Source organism: Homo sapiens, chromosome 8, assembly GCF_000001405.40.
Source record: "Homo sapiens chromosome 8, GRCh38.p14 Primary Assembly".
Taxonomy (NCBI): Eukaryota; Metazoa; Chordata; class Mammalia; order Primates; family Hominidae; genus Homo; species Homo sapiens.
In genome coordinates, this window is record NC_000008.11 from 86,534,513 (window position 1) to 86,554,650 (window position 20,138).

General features: G+C 35.6%; 1 protein-coding gene across 7 annotated transcripts in view; it reads left to right on the plus strand.

Moving 5' to 3' along the window:
- CPNE3 (copine 3) overlaps positions 1–20,138 on the plus strand; it is a 47,064-nt gene that overhangs the window by 20,078 nt on the left and 6,848 nt on the right. For all 7 annotated transcript variants that reach the window (XM_047422393.1, XM_047422394.1, XM_024447322.2 and 4 more), the window contains 8 exons: positions 3,051–3,134; positions 5,733–5,822; positions 10,228–10,326; positions 12,083–12,169; positions 13,199–13,258; positions 13,789–13,922; positions 16,534–16,588; positions 16,671–16,722. In XM_047422393.1, the coding sequence (XP_047278349.1) occupies positions 3,051–3,134; positions 5,733–5,822; positions 10,228–10,326; positions 12,083–12,169; positions 13,199–13,258; positions 13,789–13,922; positions 16,534–16,588; positions 16,671–16,722 (661 nt within the window). The remainder of the gene's footprint in view (positions 1–3,050; positions 3,135–5,732; positions 5,823–10,227; positions 10,327–12,082; positions 12,170–13,198; positions 13,259–13,788; positions 13,923–16,533; positions 16,589–16,670; positions 16,723–20,138) is intronic.

Here is a 20,138-nt window from a genome sequence, read left to right on the forward strand (position 1 = left end):
GGGCGTGGTGGTGCGTGCCAGTAGTCCCAGCTACTTGGGAGGCTGAGGCAGGAGAATCACTTGAACCTGGGAGGCGGAGGTTGCAGTGAGCCGAGATCATGCCACTGCATTCCAGCTTGGCGAGAGAGCAAGGCTCCGTCTCAAAAAAAGAAGGAAAAAAAATTTGTAAAATAGTGATATCGTCACTCTATCATTGCTTTTGTTTCTTAGCAAGAATCTTTCTATAGAGAGAAACTTCCCCACATTAAGTATTTATTTACTTTGTGGTATAGTTTATATAGGAAAAGTAAGTTAAAATGTTTGACTTTTCCCCCATATTTACCATTTTTCAAAATTATAAGTTGGTTCCCTAGCATCCACTAAATGTGACCAGTGAAGTTTTTATGTTTGTGTGTTTTGTTCTGTTTTAGAATTGCTGTAAAGTAAGAGATTTAAATATTTATAACTGTAATGGATTACTTCTCATAGATACTTAAGTTATTCCAATTTTGGCCTGAGGGAATTCCTTTAAGCTTGTTTGTGAGACCATTTAACACAACTCCAGGAGTCTTTGGATAATTTCTTGCTCTGTGGGATGACAAGAGCTTCAAAGAACTTCTTTTTGAAGTTCTTTTTGTCTTTAATAAGCCATGTCCCAAGCTTATTTTATCTAGTTTCTGCCTTAGACTGGCAGATTAAAAGGAACCTTACTTTATTTTGGTGGAATTGGTATTTAGAGACCACAGTCCACTGCTAGGGGTACTCACTGTTGTGGGTTATTGTCATTCATGGTTTCTAGGGCTTTTCAGTGGACAGATACAGAAAAGACTTTTTTTTTTTTTTAAGAAAAACTAAATCATGAAATTACACAACTATTTCCAATTCAAATATAGAATTACTGGCCGGCCATGATGGCTCACGCCTGTAATCCCAGCACTCTGGGAGGTGGGTGGAACACTTGAGGTCAGGAGTTCAAGACCAGCCTGGCCAACATGGTGAAACCCTGTGTCTAGTAAAAATACAAAAATTAGCCGGTCATGGTAGCATGCACCTGTAGTCCCAACTACTCAAGAGGATGAGGCATGAGAATTGCTTGAACCCAGGAGGGGGAGGTTACAGTGAGCCGGGATCGTACCACTACACTCCAGCCTGGGTGACGTCTCCAAAACAACAGAGATAATTAAAAAAAATATAGAATTACAGGCACTTATTTTATATTCATACCTCATTTCTCTTGGTTTTTAAATATATTAACACAATTGCTTATCTGTTTTGTCTCACACAACGTTAATAGTTTTAGAATAAAAATATCAATATTATTAACAGTATTTTTACTGAAAAGTTTGAGCTTTCTTTGAAGTTCTTTTTGTCTTTAAGGTGTGTATATTCCACTTTTGTTACATAGTCACATTCTTATGATTTAAAGAAATAATTCCTTTGTGTGGTTATGCTGTCACAGACCTACTTTCATTTTGCTTTTGATATTTAGGGATTGCTTTTTTAAAAAACCATTTTGATTTAATTTTGTTTTATAATCACGTAAAAAATTTACATGGCTCTAAAATCTACAAAACAAGGTACTTAAGAAATTTAACATCTCTCCTGGTCTACCTTGCTTCCGCTTTCCTCCATGTAGATAATAATTTTTAAAAAGTTGTGTTTTATAATTTAATCATTCTGTTTCCTAAATATCTAAGGGTTTTTCTGTGTGTATGTATACTCATGTGTGTGTATGTGTTCATATGTATGTGTGTATGTATGTATTTGTATTTATGTTCCCCACCCCCAGCCCTTGCATAAACATAGCATACTAGATGTACACTTTCCTCCACTTTGCTTCTTTTACTTAACATATCCTGGAGATCAGAGCCAGGGAGTTTAATTATTGTTTTAGTTCTAATACTAGCAACTTAACCTTCAAACAAGTATTGGTTTTTAGCCTTCAAAATAATAACAAGGATATTCTGCTTTTATTTCATTCACTTAAGATTCTTCTTAGAGATAAGGTTAAACACAGTCTTTGTGTTTATATTTTTGACTGTACCAAATATCTTATTTGCTTGACATTAAACTTTGTGTTCAAGAGAGAAATAATTTTATTTTAGTTCTTAATTTAATACTGAAGTTAATTCAGGACTAAAGAAATCTTCAGCTCAGGGATGTATCTGCATATATTCCTGTGGGATTAACAAATGTCCTTTCATTTTCAAAAATAACAAGTCATAAATGTTAACGAGTATGCACATTTCAAAATGAAGATACATGAAAATGAGAAAAAATCATCCATAGTCTTACCACCTGAGTTTAACCTCTGTGAGTGATTCGTACATTTTTCCTGAATTTTATCTCTCTGTATGTGTGTGGTTATGTGTGTATTGAGGATGGTGATAACGGTATTTTTGAGCATTTAGTGTGCTTGAGCATTGTATAGGAGTTCTGTGGTGAATTACAGGAGAAATAGAAGATGTAGTTTGTGCCCTTGAAGTGTTTCTATTATGTGTTCCACATATCTACCTCTGGTCATTTGTGTATGTAAAGAAATGTGTGGTTTTGATGAAGGAGTTTTGGACATAGAAGGCTGAGATATGAAGTTAAAGCCTGGATCCATTAATTAATTAGATATGTGATCTTGGGAAAATCATTTACCCCTCTGAATCCATTTTCTCACTGATAACTGCCCTGTCTCCATAGAGTTGGTATGGCTAATGTTTGTGATATCATTTATATAAAACTACTCAGTGATATGTGAATGAAAATGGTTAAAGGTGAAAACAAGGCAAAAACATATTTTATGGTATATTTGACCACTGTATTTTAAAACTGTCATGTTTTTGAGAAGTCAGGGTATGATATACAGGATTATGAGCATTTATCACAAGCACTTTGATAATTCTCCCTAGTAGACTTCCGTAAGTTTCTAAGTTAGGGAGAAAGGTGATGGGATGTATATTTACTATCAATACTATAGAGTTAGACTTCAGGTGGTTGCCAACATGTGTAAAGTATGGTCACACATGGTTTCATGGGTTCAGAGGAGAACAAATGCTTTTTGTTGTTTGTTTTAAATGTAGGATCTATTTGGAAAGTCAGACCCATACCTGGAATTCCACAAGCAGACATCTGATGGAAACTGGCTAATGGTTCATCGGACAGAGGTGAATATTTGAATTTGAAAAGCAGAGTGGAGGTGTTCTTTGAAATTATTGTAATCTGAATTTTAAAAAGCTTATATTTATAAAAGTATCAATCTGAGTTCATACTTACATATAGCCAGAGACACAAGATCACCATGTTCATATTTTTTTCTTTCAATGAGGAGGTGCTACCGTACTTTATGATTTTTATTTTGAAAAATTTTAAGTCCTATAAAGAACACTAAATGTATTCCTCTGCACCCCTCACCTAGATTCACCAAATGAACACACACTCCCACATACTTGTGCTCTCTGTCTTTCTCTATCTCTGTCCCTCTCTGTCTCTCTCTCTCTCTCTCTCTCACACACACACACACACACACTTATGCACACATGTATTTTCCTTTTGCAAAATCATCCTAATGGAGCTACAGATATAATAACTCTTATCTTTAAATGCTACAGCAGACCAAGTGTGGTGGCTCATGCCTGTAATCCCAGCACTTTGGGAAGCCAAGGCAGGTGGATCACTTGAGGTCAGGAGCTCGAGACCAGCCTGGCCAACATGGTGAAACCCCGTCTCTACTAAAAATACAAAAATTAGCCAGGTGTGGTAGCACTTGCCTGCAGTCCCAGCTACTCAGGAAACTGAGGCACAAGAATTGCTTGAACCCAGGAGGTGGAGGTTGCAGTGAGCTGAGATCGCACCACTGCACTCCATCCCAGGCTACTGAGCGAGACTCCACCTCAAAATAAATAAATAAATAAATGCTACAGCAGGTAGTTTAAAGAACAGGGACATTCTATACAATAATACTTGAGAAATTAACATTTGACATAGCTAAATGTAACATTATTTGGTATACCATTAATCTTCAGATTTCCTCAGTTGTCCCACAGGTTTTGTGTGTATTTTGTTTTGCTTTGTTTTGTTCAGAATCCAGTCAAGGCTCAAATTTTGGATTTGACTATTATATTCCCAATAGAGGACTCTTCTCCCTACCTTCCTTATACCTTGATGCCATTGAATCTCTTGAAAATCAAGACCAGAATGTCCAACATTCTGGATTCTTCTGTTTCCTCACAACTAGATCCAGATCAAACATTTCTGTCAAAAACACTATGTGTGTTCCTTTTCTTTACATTTTCAGGAGGCTCATGGTGCCAGGCTGCCCAGCATTGATGATGTCATGCTTGGCTACTTGGTTAAGCTGGTGACCGCCAGATCTCACCATGATAAGGTCTCATTTTTCCCCTTTTTAATTAATAAGTGCTATGTGGTGTGAAACTATGAGACTGCATGAATTACATGTTCTCTAGCACTTCAACCAGTGGTTTTAGCATCCATTGGTGATCCTTGCCTAATCAATTATTGTATTATGGGTAGTAAAATAGTGATTTTTCAAAATCTTTCATCCTTTTTAGTTATATTAGCAGGCATTCCTCTTTCATCTCTCTCTTTCTCTGCTTTTATTTTTAGTATCATTATAAATTCATGGATTGTTATAACAGTGTATGCTTTGTATTTAACTCATTATTGTATTTTTGCTGCTCAGATTCATCCATGTTTGACTAGAGAGAGCTCGTAGTCTCTAAAATGGCTCTTGGTTTTTCTTTTTGACTTCATTCATCTTTGAGCAGTCTCTTAAGTTAGAGTATGTTCTCAGTTCCCCTTGTACTTTTTCTGTCCCAGAGCTGGTATGAGCCATGTCTCTTAATAAGCCCTATTCCTGCAAGAGGGTAGTAGTATTTAGACACTGACATCTGAGTGCTGAATGTGCTCATTGCTACTGGATATCATTGTTTTATGCCTTTTAAGTGGACACAGCTAAGAAATATGTATATTTGTGTTTATCTGTTTATTATGTATGTATATATGGTATTAAAATTTTAAATTATAAATGTGGACTTATTTCTCCAATTCAATTCCAACATAGTTTCTTATTCTATATTTACCTTTTCTTATTTCATATTTGAATCTTCTGTGCCCTGCAATGAAACCCTCATTGCTATTAAAATCAATAATCCTCCGCAGTTTTTTTTTTTTTTTTTTTTGAGACGTTGTCTTGCTCTGTCACCCAGGCTGGAATGCAGTGGCACGATCTCCACTCACGGCAACCTCCACCTCCCAGGTTCCAGCAGTTCTCCTGCCTCAGCCTCCTGAGTAGCTAGGATTATAGGCATGCACCACCACACCCAGCTAATTTTTGTATTTTTTTAGTAGAGACAGGTTTTCACCATGTTGGCCAGGCTGGTCTCAAACTCCTGACCTCAGATGATCTGCCCGTCTCGGCCTCCCAAAGTGTGGGGATTACAGGTGTGAGCCACCGCGCCCAGCCATCCTCTGTAGTTCCTAAGTGCTCCTTGTAATAGGTAGATATATTTTCCAAATAGTTTTCTACTTTTCCTCAGAATGTATCACAACTGGACAATTTATTACATTTTTCATGTAGCAGTTGTATAATATTGTTCTAGGTAGTTTTTTTGTGGAAATAGTTGAGTTGATGAAGAGGTGGAGGACGAATGGTGAGAGTATAGCAAGAACCTAGGAAGGGCAGGAGCAAAATGTTAATGAACTGGAAGTTTTTCTAACAGCTTTTTGAAACCACATTTTTATAGGTTGTTAAAAACAACTTGAATCCTGTTTGGAGGCCTTTCAAGATCTCTCTTAACTCACTGTGTTACGGAGATATGGACAAAACCATTAAGGTAAGTTGAAATTATATATATATAAAATACTTAAATATACCCATGTTCACCTATTTTATAAAATTAATACATAAGATAGTATTTAAAGAAAGTAAATGATGTAAGACACCTACAGAGTTAAATTTTATGTGTGTAGAATACTAAAATAGAAATGTCTTCTGGTAAGTGACACAGTTTGAGGAGTAGGCATGTTTGACTAATCTGTTGACCTAATGCTTAGTCAAACAGTGTCGTTTCTATTTTATTCTGTATTTTAAAAAATAAAATGTCCAGTTTAATATTTTTTTCCTTTTAATAAGATTCCTCTGCTCTGCTAATAGGAACCTCGAACTACATTATTTGCCTTTGGTATGTCTGTTGCAGATAGAAGCAGATGTTACCGTAAGAACTCAGAGCTTGCTTCTGCCCTTAGCAAGGGAGGGCAGTATTGATGGCATTTTTCTTCCTTATTTTCAGAATGAGATAAGTAATTAATTGAAAGCTTTTAGAAGGCTTTAGTTTTAGAGTATCAGGGAAGTGGAGTATGAACAGCAAATAGCAGATGTCAGTATTTTTTTAAATGTTTTTATTCATAGGCATTTATTTAAAAAAAGAGTAAAAATATAAATAAAAGAAAACTCATGGAGTGGTGTTGAGAATGAAAAATATATACATACATATACATAAAAGAAACTTTTGTACTAGAATTATTAACTTTACATGATTACAGATAGAGGTCTTTTTTATGTTCAGACTTCAGTCGATCAAAGGGATTTTTTGGTTTGTTTTTCTCTTTTTCTGATAATAAATATGGTAAAAGCAGGCAGGATAATGAGGAGTAAGTATAAGATTTGGAGTCAGACCACAGTTCAAGTTTTGACTTAGTCCTTTAACTGGCTAAGGGATCTTGGGCAGGTAACCACACTTCTTCACATTTACTTATTTATTTATTTTGCTTATTAGTAGGAAGCTTCACCTGGATTCTTCACTTTTATAATAGAGTTAAGAATTTCTACCTTCCAGAAAAGCAAAAATTAAATTAGCAGAAGTGAAAGTTTTGTAAAAATTTTGTAGAGGTGCCATTGTTACTGAAAAACTGCTTCATTTTTGCCGGGCATGGTGGCTCAGGCCTATAATCCCAGCACTTTGGGAGGCCGAGGCGGGCAAATTGCCTGAGCTCAGGAGTTTGAGACCAGCCTGGGCAACATGGCAAAATACTGTCTCTACAGAAAATACAAAAATGAGCTGGGTGTGGTGGCGCATACCTGTGTTCCCAGCTACTTGGGAGGCTTAGGTGGGAGGATCCTTTGATCCTGGGAGGAGGAGGTCTCAGTAAGCCAATATTGCTTCACACTGCACTCCAGCCTGGGTGATGGAGTGAGACCGTGTCTTAAAAAAAAAAAAAAAAAAACTGCTTCATTACTGAGATCCATAAAAAATTGCTTCCAGTTTGTAAAGAACTTTAAAAATCAATCTAAGTATGATTTGTAAGGTATTTGAAACAGTAGTGAAAATCCAGGTCCGAAATAAATAGTTGAAAATTAGCTATAAAAATTATTTTTTATCATTTTGCCAAATCCAGACTTTTGCTTTTCATATTAAAAATAGTAAACATCATTAGATGTCAGAAGGCAGGTAAATCTAGGGGAAAATGTCTAAGCCATAACTATTTGATTGTGTGTAATGATATGTTAACAACAAAACAATATCTTTTAAACTTTTTTGCTCACAGTGGCATGCTTACAGGGCTATTTTATTATAGTAAGTAAACTGATTTTCTGAGCTTTCTCTAATGAATGTCTTCCATTCTTAAAACTTTCTTGGTTTGTTTTTAACTATACACAACTTGGTTTGCTACGTCATCACTGACTTTATTTCATTTAGTTCTGCATTTCTTTGCAATATCAAAAAGTCATACATTTGTGATTCTCTTACTGTTCGAAAATTGCTTATAGGGATAGTAAAGAGTTATAGAGCAGTGAATAGAGTCAGAATCCTCAGTAGTTTCTTTGCCATGTTGTGTTATCATTCTAGCATGTATTATTTTCATTAAGATCAAGTGAATACGAAAAATAATCATGCATGCTGCCACTTTGCCTAAAATGGGAGTGCCTTACTGAATGTAGTATCTGTGTGGTGTGTGCATTCTCTTTCATATATACATATGCCCATGTGTATATATGTATACATTTATTTATTTATTACACATATGTTTATTATGTATACTATATATGCATGTGTATATGTATATTATATATCCATTAAATGTATATGAATACATGTATATATTATATACTTGCATATACATATGCATATGTATATATGCATATATTGTTATGCTTACCATTGTTTAAAAAGCCAATAATACTGGTCTTTGAATTCTTGAAAAGAGAGAAATTAAATGACACGAATTGTCTTACCTCATACCGTATCTGAACATATGCCAGCATTATAAATATCATGTCTGCCTTCAAGGGGACAAGAGGGAGCTTTTTCTATATATTTATTATAGTGAGTAATCAAAATTTTTAGTTTAAAAATATTATTTACATTTCCTGAAATTTTAACGTATGAATAGTCTAAAGATATGAACCGTTTTAGCCCTTCATAATCTTTACTCAAATAAAATCTTGGCCTTGTCAAAGCTTAATCTTGTCTTAGATATAAATTGGTGTTCCCTGATTGCAAATCTAAAATGTAAAGTTCTGTTTTCCATAATTGAAAAATGTCTGTTTAAAAACCATGAACTTATTAAAATATTAAGATAGTTTGTTTTCTACCTTATCTAAATATTACTTCCTCTAAAAATTATGGAAATTATTAAATTTCTTTTCCCTTGGCACATTAAAGAGTCATATAAAAGGTTTTTGGTTTAAAAATTGGATACTGAGTAGGGCAAGAGTCAAACTGTCAGACTTGGTCAGTGGCCAAAATGCCTGCAAAGCATTTTCTTAAAAAAATAAAATCCCTTTCTGTTACTCAAAATTGAAATTCTCGGTCTTGACTGTTTTGATTGATTGATTTGTAGTCTTCCTGAAGAATAATGAAAACATAAGTAGGGAATGAAAGACTTCCAGTTATGATAAGCATTCATTTCATAGAACTGAGGGGAAAAATAGTCACTTTGCCAAGTAAACATAAAAAATCCTGAGTATTTTAGCTTGGCAGTTAATCTAAGTTTGAGAAGGATATTAGCAAGATAAAGCTCTCTATTGGCTGATGGTAAATGCAAATTGCTTCTTAGTTACAAGTTTTTATTTTAGATTACAGGCTCTAGGATTTCAAAGTGTCCTTAGCACAGCGTTACTTTACCTGTGTTGGTTACCACACAAGGCATACCGTCTTCTAAGACTTTTTATTTAATTCCTGTAAGTCTTAGTTCTGCAAAATGGGCATCATAGTAACAGGATTCCAACTCTGTCTACCTCACAAGACTATTTAGAGAATGTGCACAGTGTACATAATAAATGTTTGCAGAAGTGAAATAATCTGTTTTGAGATAAAATACTATAAAAACATTGGTGTTAAATGTTCACAATCACAGTCAATTTTCAGCTTCCCTTGAACACTTCTGCTTGGCAATAGTTCATGCCACCTAATTTTTCCCATTGCAAAGAATATTCTAGTATTCTGGTGAATATTTACTCTTTGACTGTCTGTCAACCTGTCACGAAATTACATGCATCTCAAATACTCTCACCTCTCTTCTCTCTCCTTTCAGAGAGAGAAAGCATTTAATCAGAGCCAGATCTAAGACTAGAACTCACCCTGTCTCACATGGAAATAGAGTAAATATGACCCGGTGTGGATACTTCCTCAGTGGACTAAGTACTCTTAGCCTGGAATTGTTCCTTTCATTGTAAGAGTTGTGATCTTCACAATGATGCAAATCTGGCTTCATCATATCTAACTTATAATACAAGCCAACCTCACCAGATTGCAGCTAATGAAATATATTTTTCATAATTCTAAAGTATCTAGGATTTAATTATATAAATTTTAGCTTTCTAGAATGTTGACTTCCTTTCTTTCTCCATATAATGGCTTTTAGCCATTGCATAGTAATAAGGCAAAGAAGTGGATGAGAAAGAAGATATAACTCCATTTTGCCCTTTATCAGCACTTATAGAAGGCATGATAGAGGAGCTGGAAACTGCTTAATGTGGAATTGAAACAGTATTTGTGTTTTTCATCTGCCTGTGATCTATCTTAGATCCCCATCCCAAGGATAGCTGGGGTTTGAAAGTGTTTCAATATTGCTTCTCTAGGATGTTAATTCCTACTGTCCCAAGTAGGGACTGCATAGTACACATTTTCATTTACTTTAATTAAAAGGGCACTTCATGATAGGTTATATTTATTGCAGCCAATACTTTTTAATAAAACTATATTGATTTTTATATATTTTTATTATATTTAATTTCAGGTGGAGTGTTATGATTATGACAATGATGGGTCACATGATCTCATTGGAACATTTCAGACCACCATGACAAAACTGAAAGAAGCCTCCAGAAGCTCACCTGTAAGTTACATCCTTGCATTTGCATATACTTTATAGTTTGGCTATGTATTTATTACTGTATTTCATTTTTTTCCCATAGCATCAAACGGTTTACTATGCTTTTAGTCTATATTGCATAATGCTCCGAAATGTTTAGTAATCACATAATCCACAATTCATACTTGGGGCATGAATTTTATTGAGCAGAACACCACGTAACAGTTACTAATGCCAGATGAGGACTCCAACTACATGGAGGACAGCAAAGATGATCACAGTGTCAGTCATTAGGAATAGAAGTCCAATCCTTTTGCCTATTGTATCATCGTATTGAAGTCAAGGCAAACACAATGCAGGCAAGCACTAGAGGGAACCACACTTTACTTACAGAGAGAAGAGGCAGAGCAATATCAGCTTTAAAAGTAGGCATTGGTTTCCGTGGCCAGCAGTTCCATCCAGCAACCAATGCAGGGCAGTTGGCCCCAGTGTGCTTATCTAGTGCTGTAGAAGAATGACCCTGCCCCTCTCAAGACTATGAAATACTGAAAGCTGGGGGCAGACCTGAGAGTCATTAAGCACAGGCTTCAGCAGGACCAAAGAGCACTTATGGAGCCTGAAGGTATAAATGAATAAGTGAAGTAATCTAGCCCTTTTTCAATGAGAATTCGGTTTGTGGAATTTCTTTAGCTCTAATATATAATAATTTTTTATTGTTTTTCCTTTCTTTAATTTCTAATACTCAACAATTAATACTTATGATTGTGACTGAGACTCCAGCAAGATCCTGAACCATCAAAGAATTTGTTTAACATAATTTTGTTTCACATCATTGTATTATACCACGTGTATTTTTTAGTGTTTGATTCTTGGAAAACTAGTAATGACTGTCTGAAGTACATAAGTGGCTTTGTGTTAACCAGAAGAGGTGACTTATCAAGCATTTATTGAATATCTCTTATATTATTATTAGGCAAGACAGTGAGAATTTGAAGGTATAAGTTGGAGGTGATTATAATGTCACTGTGAAGAAAAAATTAAATGAGACACTTGAAAATAACACAGAGTATGTAACTAAATTTCATATAGTTGTAGAAATTTAAAGAGGTAGATAGAGATCAGAGAAGACTAGAGTAGCAGTGGAAGTTACAGAGGAGAACAACTTGAGCCAAGCCCTAAAGATGGATAGGGGGATAGGAAGGGGAAGGAAGATCATTCTTTTGGGGGAAGGAAATATAAACAAGAGGAGGTGTTAGATCAATTTTTAACATGTATTCCCAGTGGAAAGAGAAGATCTTTGATGCATATTTTACCATAGAGTTGGGCTTCATATATTTGTTTTATGATGTTATTTTTTTTTCTTTTCTTTGCAGCATATTTTCGTTCTTTATGTTGGTAACAGCTAGGAGTAATATTTTATTTCCTTTATTATACCATGTTATATCATAGGGCCCAACTCTATGGTAAAATATGCAGCAAAGAGAAAAAAGATTATGCCTTGGAACATTTGCAAGGAAATTACCTGCAGAGGTAAAATTTATTTGGGAGAAATATTTTGAAAGGTATGCAATTTTAGGAGTGCCTTAATTGTTGGAAATTTACCTGATAAATATTCCACATACTTAACATATTATGTAATTGTTTCAGAGTTATATTTTGCAACAGACCTACATCAGTAGGTAGTTTGATTCTAAAGGAAAAAAAGTCATTCATTTAAAGTCACATTGGCATTTCTAATATTGCTAATAAAAAGTAACATTTTTGTCTTCTCTTCCTACAGGTTGAATTTGAATGCATAAATGAGAAAAAAAGGCAAAAGAAAAAAAGCTACAAGAATTCAGGTGTTATCAGTGTGAAACAGTGTGAGGTCCGTTGGCCTTGGCTACTTATTTTTATTTATTTATTTATTCTTTTTGAGCTGGAGCCTCGCTCTGTTGCCCAGGCTGGAGCGCAGTGGTGTGATCTCGGCTCACTGCAACCTCTGCCTCCTGGGTTCAAGCAATTCTCTGCCTCAGCCTCCCAGGTAGCTGGGATTACAGGCACCCACCACTACACCTGGCTAATTTTTGTATTTTTAGTGGAGACAGGGTTTCACCATGTTGGCCAGGCTGGTCTTGAACTCCTGACCTTGTGATCCACCCACCTTGGCCTCCCAAAGTGCTGGGATTACAGGTGTGAGCCACCGCATCCGACCCAAGCCTTGGCTACTTATAATATAATGAGATTATATTTCAAGTTCTCCTGTTAGTATGTTTATATTAAACAAATACTTGAATTTCAGGCAGTTGAAAATCACATGAGCATCTGGTCACCTTTAGCAAAAAGAATCAAGTAGGGAAGAACAAAAAAATCAAGTAACCTGTTTCCAAGGTTTGACAACTTATTTGCAAAGGACAAGGATAAGTTTTTCGTTATCTTAGGAAATATAAAGCATCATAGTATTTTCTCAGCTCTTTAGTGGAAATGACCTTACCCAATGCATTTATCCTCTTCATACTTTCAATATAAAATGTTATGAGTAAAGGGGAAAAGCCAAGATTTTTTAGGGTGAACAAGTGGAATGGAGTTTTTGTTTTTTAAAATGTTGACTGCTATGCTTTTTAAAGCCCTCAACATATTGGATTCATTACTAATATCTTAAAACTTAAAATGAGTGTATTTCATCTTTCGCCATTAGTATTCTAATCTTAACATTGCTACAATTATCTTGAAGCAGAATTTTACAGATTCATGGCACATAGGGGAAGGGGTATCTTAAACCTGAATGCAGGGGTAATTTCCATGTTTATATCATGTCCTGTTCAATTTACAGACTTTTAAAAATATATGCCAAAGAGTTTTTTGCTTCTCTTGTATAGTAGGAGAGTTGTAATTTTAAGTTTTCTCTTATTTTTAGATTACAGTAGAATGCACATTCCTTGACTATATAATGGGAGGATGTCAGCTGAATTTTACTGTAAGTAACACACTGAATTTTTCAGCATAGGCTTTTTCCTCCATGTTGCAGTATATTTTCTTTCACTGCAAAACTGACTTTGTAATGAAATTTTCACAATCTGTTTAGCATAGTCCTCTTAGAGTCCTCAGGCAGGTTGTCTGGGCTCATCATGAAGCTCTCAGTTTTGTTGATGAGATCTCTTCCTCCTGAGAGAAAGCAGATGTATACAAACCTACAAACTAGTGGTTATCCTGAACTAATTTAAGGACTAGAAAGCATTAGTGAGACAACCTTATAAAAGACAACCCTTAAGCTTAAGTAATGGATACAATAATTCATTATTTAAGCCATCTAGAAAAGTAGAAGCATCAGGTTGTTTCACATTTAGGCTTTACTTGTTTAATTGTCTATGGAAATAGTGGTAGGCATTTGTTAGGAAGTAGGCGCCAGGATGCATGATTGTATCCCATCTCTTGAAGTTTTCCTGGACATCAAGCACAGGTGTCCCTGCCTTCTCCTTACTAAGGGCTGCAATTGTTATTTGGCAGGTGGGAGTGGACTTCACTGGCTCCAATGGTGACCCAAGGTCTCCAGACTCCCTTCATTACATCAGCCCCAATGGCGTTAATGAGTATTTGACTGCTCTCTGGTCTGTGGGACTGGTCATTCAAGATTATGATGCGTGAGTATGACTTTGGAAAAACTAAAATACATGTTTTCACAATTCCCCAGAAAGGGTAGTTTGTTTCATCGGCTAGCACTCTGATATAGGTGGTAGGTTGATGATGCTTTCTCCCTAAAATCCCCCCGTCTTATCTTCTATTTTTCTCCTTGTGGCAATCTTGCTGTTTACCTTAGATCTCTAATATCTTTCTGTGATTAGTTATCATATATGGCATGTACTTTGCTTTATATTACATATAGTTTGCTACTTACTTCCTGACTGAATGTCAGCAAGGCTCTTGTTTCTTTAGTCTGGTTTCCTTGGGGCTTATTCATTAGGCATAAGTTGTATGAGTGATTGAAGCCCAGATGACATGTTTTATAAATACTGTTTATAAATACTAAATATTATTTATGTTAAATACTAAATACTATTTATAAATACTAAATACTATTTATGTTAAGAAATAAAAACTATTTCTTAGCATATCTATGTCCTTGGCAGTTGCCAAATTATTTTTTTAACGGTGACTTTTAACAAGTGCTGAAGGATAACTAGATCTAATTGCTATGAAATATTCTGAATGGTTATCAATGGTTAGGTTTTGAAAAGATTTAAATAGGTCCTATTGAGGGTTTACTAAACAATAGGGAAAACATCTGCATTAGTAGTGTTTTTCCTGATGTAGCGTTAAGAGTACAGAATAAAATTTCACTTGCTTTTGTCTATTATTATTTTATTTACATATTGATGGGGCTTTTCATTAATCTGTAGCATTTAAAGAGGTGAAATTTTTAGGCAAATGCAAAGAAATCTAAAGTAAGGTGGCAATTCCAATTTCAGGCTAGTAAGTTTTAAGGTAAAAATCATTAAATATATTTAACATATATAGAAAGTTACTTTATTAGACAGTAGTGAGAGCTTAGAAAGGTGGTCAAATATAACATAGGATTAAAAAATTAATAATTTCTCACTAGCAGATATTAAAAGTATTATTGCAATTATCTTAAGAGTATGGAATTAGGACATGACCAGTGGAACCAAGCAAACAGTCCAGAAATAGACCCATGCATATAAGTGAATTTAGGGGAGGGGGTTGTAAAAGCTGTCAAACTGGACAAGAATTGAATTTGGATCCCTGACTCATACTTGCATGTTTTAGGATATTATTCTGTATAAATTAGAGTACAGACCAGACTGCTGAAATAGACACCCAAAAACAAAGTGGCTTTGACAAAATAGAGGTTTATTTCACTTCACATTGCTAGGGGTAAATATAATAGTTAAGAACTGATAGGGGAGTTCTGCTGTTCTCAATTCACAGCTTCCCTCCGGGGTTCCATAGCTCTGGTTCTCATCTTCTCCAGCCAGGGGGAAGAGAAGAAAGGGACCAGGGAGTGAATGTGCATTCCCTTTTAGGGGCATGATTCAGAAGTGGCTGGCAAATCACTTCTACTCACATCTCCATCTCTAGATCCCAGCCATCTGATCACATCCAGGCCAGAGAAGCTAGGAAGAGCAGTCTCTAGCTCAGGTGTTCTATTATTAAAGGAGAGAATGGATATTGCCGGAGAGCAGCAATTCCTGCTTCATATCCTACTTCAAAACACTTTCCAGATGAGTTAGAAGTTTAATGTCAAAAGCAAACTTTAAAGTTTTAGAAGAAAGTGTATGTGAATTGTTTATAATCTTGTAGTGAGGAAAACCTTTAAGCAAGAGAGCAAAGGCAAAAATCATGCAGCTTTTTTGTGTTCATATTCATTAATATTAAAAACTATGAAAAGAAAGATGCTTTAAACAAAGTTGAAGACAGACTACAAACTGGGGAAAAATGTGTCTTTCTTTCTTTTGAGAAAGGGTCTCGCTCTGTCACCCAGGCTGGAGTACAGTGGTGCAGTCACAGTTCACTGCAGCCTCCACTTCCTGGACCCAAGCAATCCTCCCACCTCAGCCTGGGGGAAATATTTCTGACATGGCATAGGCTCTATCTTCAGTGCAAAACTAACTGTTAAGAATAAATATGAAAGGAATATTCCTCGTAGAAAAATTATGTTCATTATGGTGTTTTATAATGGCGGAACATTGGCTATCAGACATCTGGGGGAGGATATCCATTTTGTGGGATACTCAGTGGCTATTCATGTGATGTTATATATTCGGTCCACTGTCCCTCTCCCTAATGTATGAATGTTTGTATTAAGTGGCATAAATAAAAGCTACCAATAACCTCTGATCATCTGAGGTCAGGTTTTGCTACCAAATGAGTTTGCCATCAATTAGTAAAAAAAGAATTGTGATTTTCAGGGCTTCATGTATTTATTTACTCATTTGATCACTGAAATGATACACAAGATTTAAGTAGAACAGAGTAGGTTATAAAACATGCATGTAAACTCCATTTCTACAAAATCTATAGAAAGAAACATTTTTCTTCCTCAGTGCACAGAAAAATATTTAGGATGAGAGTTGTCAAATATTAACATTGATTCTCTTTGGCAGTTAATATAGGTAATCTTTGTTTTATCTTCATACTTTTTGAAATGAGCTCATATGGATTTTATTGTGGGCAAAGATAAAGCTTTTTATTTTGGAAAAAACAGTATTTTATTAAATATTTTTTTCTTTTTAGTGATAAGATGTTTCCAGCTTTTGGTTTTGGCGCTCAGATACCTCCTCAGTGGCAGGTAAGAGGAAATCTCTATTTTAAAGCTTTGCCTCCTAGAAAAGCAGCCCAGCCCTCATCAGTCCTTTGTCCATCTTTGACAGGTATCACATGAATTTCCAATGAACTTCAACCCATCCAATCCCTACTGCAATGGTAAGTTAAAAAATAAACATGAAGACTTCAAATGGAAAGGCTCACTAGTCTTTGTTATTTTGTTCTTTGTTCTTTGTTTTTTTTCTTGTGATTAAAACTACTCAAATTTCATCTCTAGGTTTCATTTTCTTACATATTTAACTTTCTGTTGTATAAGGTAGAAGAATTGCACCAGGTTGGTGGTTAGGGTGGTAATGGTAATTACGGGGCAAATCAGTATTATGATGATGAAGGTGGTAAGCTAAATCCTCCTACCTTAAGAACTTTAATAGGACAAAAACATTCTCAATCTTTGGAGTAGATCAGTAAAAATATCATATATTAAAAGTATTTTTACATATAAATTTATTTAAAAACAAACCTTCAATAAAATGAGTAATTTGATATACAGATCTTTTGAAGCTTTTTTCAGAGTGGTAGTCACTCTCTACGAAGAGAAAAGTATCCAGCATCTAATACTTGTTGCTCACACAGTATTCTATAAGTAGCTGGGATGGGCAAAAGGAACAAAGAATTGATCTTCTATAGCAGCTTTCCTCTGTGTAGAGAGCAGGAGGCAAATATTTGTCTTTCATTTCACTTTTTTCTTTTATTTATTTAAAAAAATAGAGACAAGGTCTCGCTATGTTGGCCAGGCTGGTCTTGAACTCTTGACCTCAAGCTATCTTCCTGCCTTCTGCCTTGGCCTCCCAAAGTACTGGGATTAGAGGCGTGAGCCACCATGCCCAGCCACGTTTTACTTTTTTCCTTATACCTCAAGTATCCAAGTGCTGCTTCTTTTTTTTACCACATTGAGCAATCAGCCAGAAATGCCAGCTCTTCCACTAAATTATATATCAGACTAAAGAGTTTGGAGAAGGCAAGGTAGGTGTGGGAGCAGAGGCATAATTTAAAATTCTAGACAATACTCTAATTTTCTGCAAAGGGTCCTTTTGACAATTACAAATGTATAGCTTTCTAACAGAAGAAAATGTTTTTTCCTTTTCTTCCTAAACAATATTCATAAGGTGGAAGAGCATGAACAATTTTTGTGGCGGCCGTTTGCAATATGGTTTTGTTCTTTTCCCCAGAACACTTTTTCCATACTAATTCAGTGTTCTTTGAGGCACTTTCAGTGACTGGTTGTGACCTCTTTTATTCCCTAGCCATTTGAAACTGGGAATGTTATTCTTTTTAAGAAATATGCTTCATTTTTATAATGAAAGTGGATAATCTTTAGAATTTGTTGTAATTAGCTTTCATTTATTGTAAATGAATATGGATGACATATCATATGATAATTCATTTTAGAAGTTCAGTCACTCTGTGAGTAATGTAAGCCCATCCTTGGGCTGTTCACCAAGTGGTTTACACTCTGGAAAAAGCATCAGTTTGGTTTTAAACAAAGGAGATACTATACAGCAAAAAGCTCAGAGCCTTATTTTAAGGCAAGGAAGTTTAATCCCCTTTTCCTAACTAATCATTGAATCTAGTTGCCTTAGAAATAATATGCCTTAGAAATAACTTGTTACTTTGATGCATAGAAAGGGTTTTGGCATAATTCAGTTTTAATTAAGGAATTGAAAGCTCTTGATATTTGTGAAGAAATTATTATTATTATTAATTTTTTTTTTTTTTTTTTCGAGACGAAGTCTTGCTCTTTTCCCCCAGGCTGGAGTGCAATGGCACGATCTTGGCTCACTGCAACCTCCTCCTCCCGGGTTCAAGCAATTCTCCTGCCACAGCCCGCCCCCCCCCCCCCCCCGCCCACAACCGAGTAGCTGGGATTACAGGCGCCTGCCACCACGCTCGGCTAATTTTTGTATTTTTAGTAAAGACAGGGTTTCACCATGTTGGCCAGGCTGGTCTAGAACTGCTGACCTCTTGTGATCTACCTGCCTCTGCCTCCCGAAGTGCTGAGATTATAGGCATGAGCCACCGTGCCCAGCCCTAAATGAATTATTTATACCTTTGTTACTACTGGACTGACTACTAGTAACATGGACCTTCTGCATGTAAAATCACCCCTGCCTATGAATTAGTTATGTTCTCAAAGGTTGTTCATAAGACTACCTGTTCCTAAATTCAAAGAAACTAAGAGGAGTTTATTGGAACTCTTACATTTTAAGAGAAGAGAGTTGGTTTCCTGAAGCTTTCAAGCCAAGTATGGTCATGCACTAAAAATGACATTTTAGTCAAGGACAGACCACATGTATGACAGTAGGCCCATAAGATTTTAATATTTTATTTTTACTGTAAAGACATAGAAAAGGTACAGTTGCTATAATTGCCTACATTATTCAGCATAGCAATATGCAGTACAGGTTTTTAACCTAGGAGTAATAGGCTATACCATCTAGGTTTGTGTAAGTATACTCTATGATGTTCATACGATGATGAAATCACCTAACGATGCATTTCTCAGAATTTATCCCCATTGGTAAGTGACACATGACTGTATATGCTTCTCCTTTTTGTTGATCTGTGTTCTCTTAGACATTTTAAAAGCAAGAGACCTGTTTTGATTTACATTAAGTTTTTTTTTTTTTTTTTGTGGCAAGTATCTGTGATGATCTCAGCAAGTATTGTTGGAAATTCTTTAGAATTTCTGTTATCCTGTCTGCATCCTAAATGCTGTGATATTAAGGGCAGATTCAACAGGTGCTTGTGTGGGATACAAGTTTCATCAGCAGTGCTTTGACCAGCAATGTCAGTCAGCTTTCACTGGGTTGTGCTGTTGTAATAAACAATCTCTAAATCTCAGTGGCTTTAATGACAACAGTTTATTTCTTGCTCATTTTACATGCAGCTAGGCTGGAGTTCTCTCCATGTTTCTTATATTGGGACTCAGGCTGAAGGAACAGCCTTATCTGGGATGTGCTGCTCCTACGGCAGAGGAAAGGAGCAAGAGAGCTGGAAAAAACAGGCAGTAGTTCTTAAGACATCTCCTTAGGTATGGGTGTCACATGCATTGGTCAAAGCTAATCAAATGGTCCTGTCCAACTTTCTATTATAAAATGCACCAGCAGGTCTAGGGGTAGTACCCCTAAACAAACACATCAGTGCTTCTGCAGCAAAATGGATAAGTAACCTGGAAGTGAATATTTGGAACTAATGCAGTCTGTGATACAATGATTAACCTTTAACTTATTGAATAAACACTTGTATCAGTTAATTAACTAGAATTAATATTAGGTTTATCGCCATCTGGTATTTTTGTAGAACCTCTGGCCATATATGCAAATGATTTTTCATTTTATTAATAACTCTTTCTTACCTTTCATCATCAGTTGTATGATGTGAAACCTTTTTCATGGTTTTCTATCAGAGCCACATTCCCAACATGTATTAAAAATTAAGCACAGATGTAACAGTCCTACCGTAGACTAATAAGTAATTTGACTGAGATGAAAGTAAATCCCTTCTATTGGGGGAGG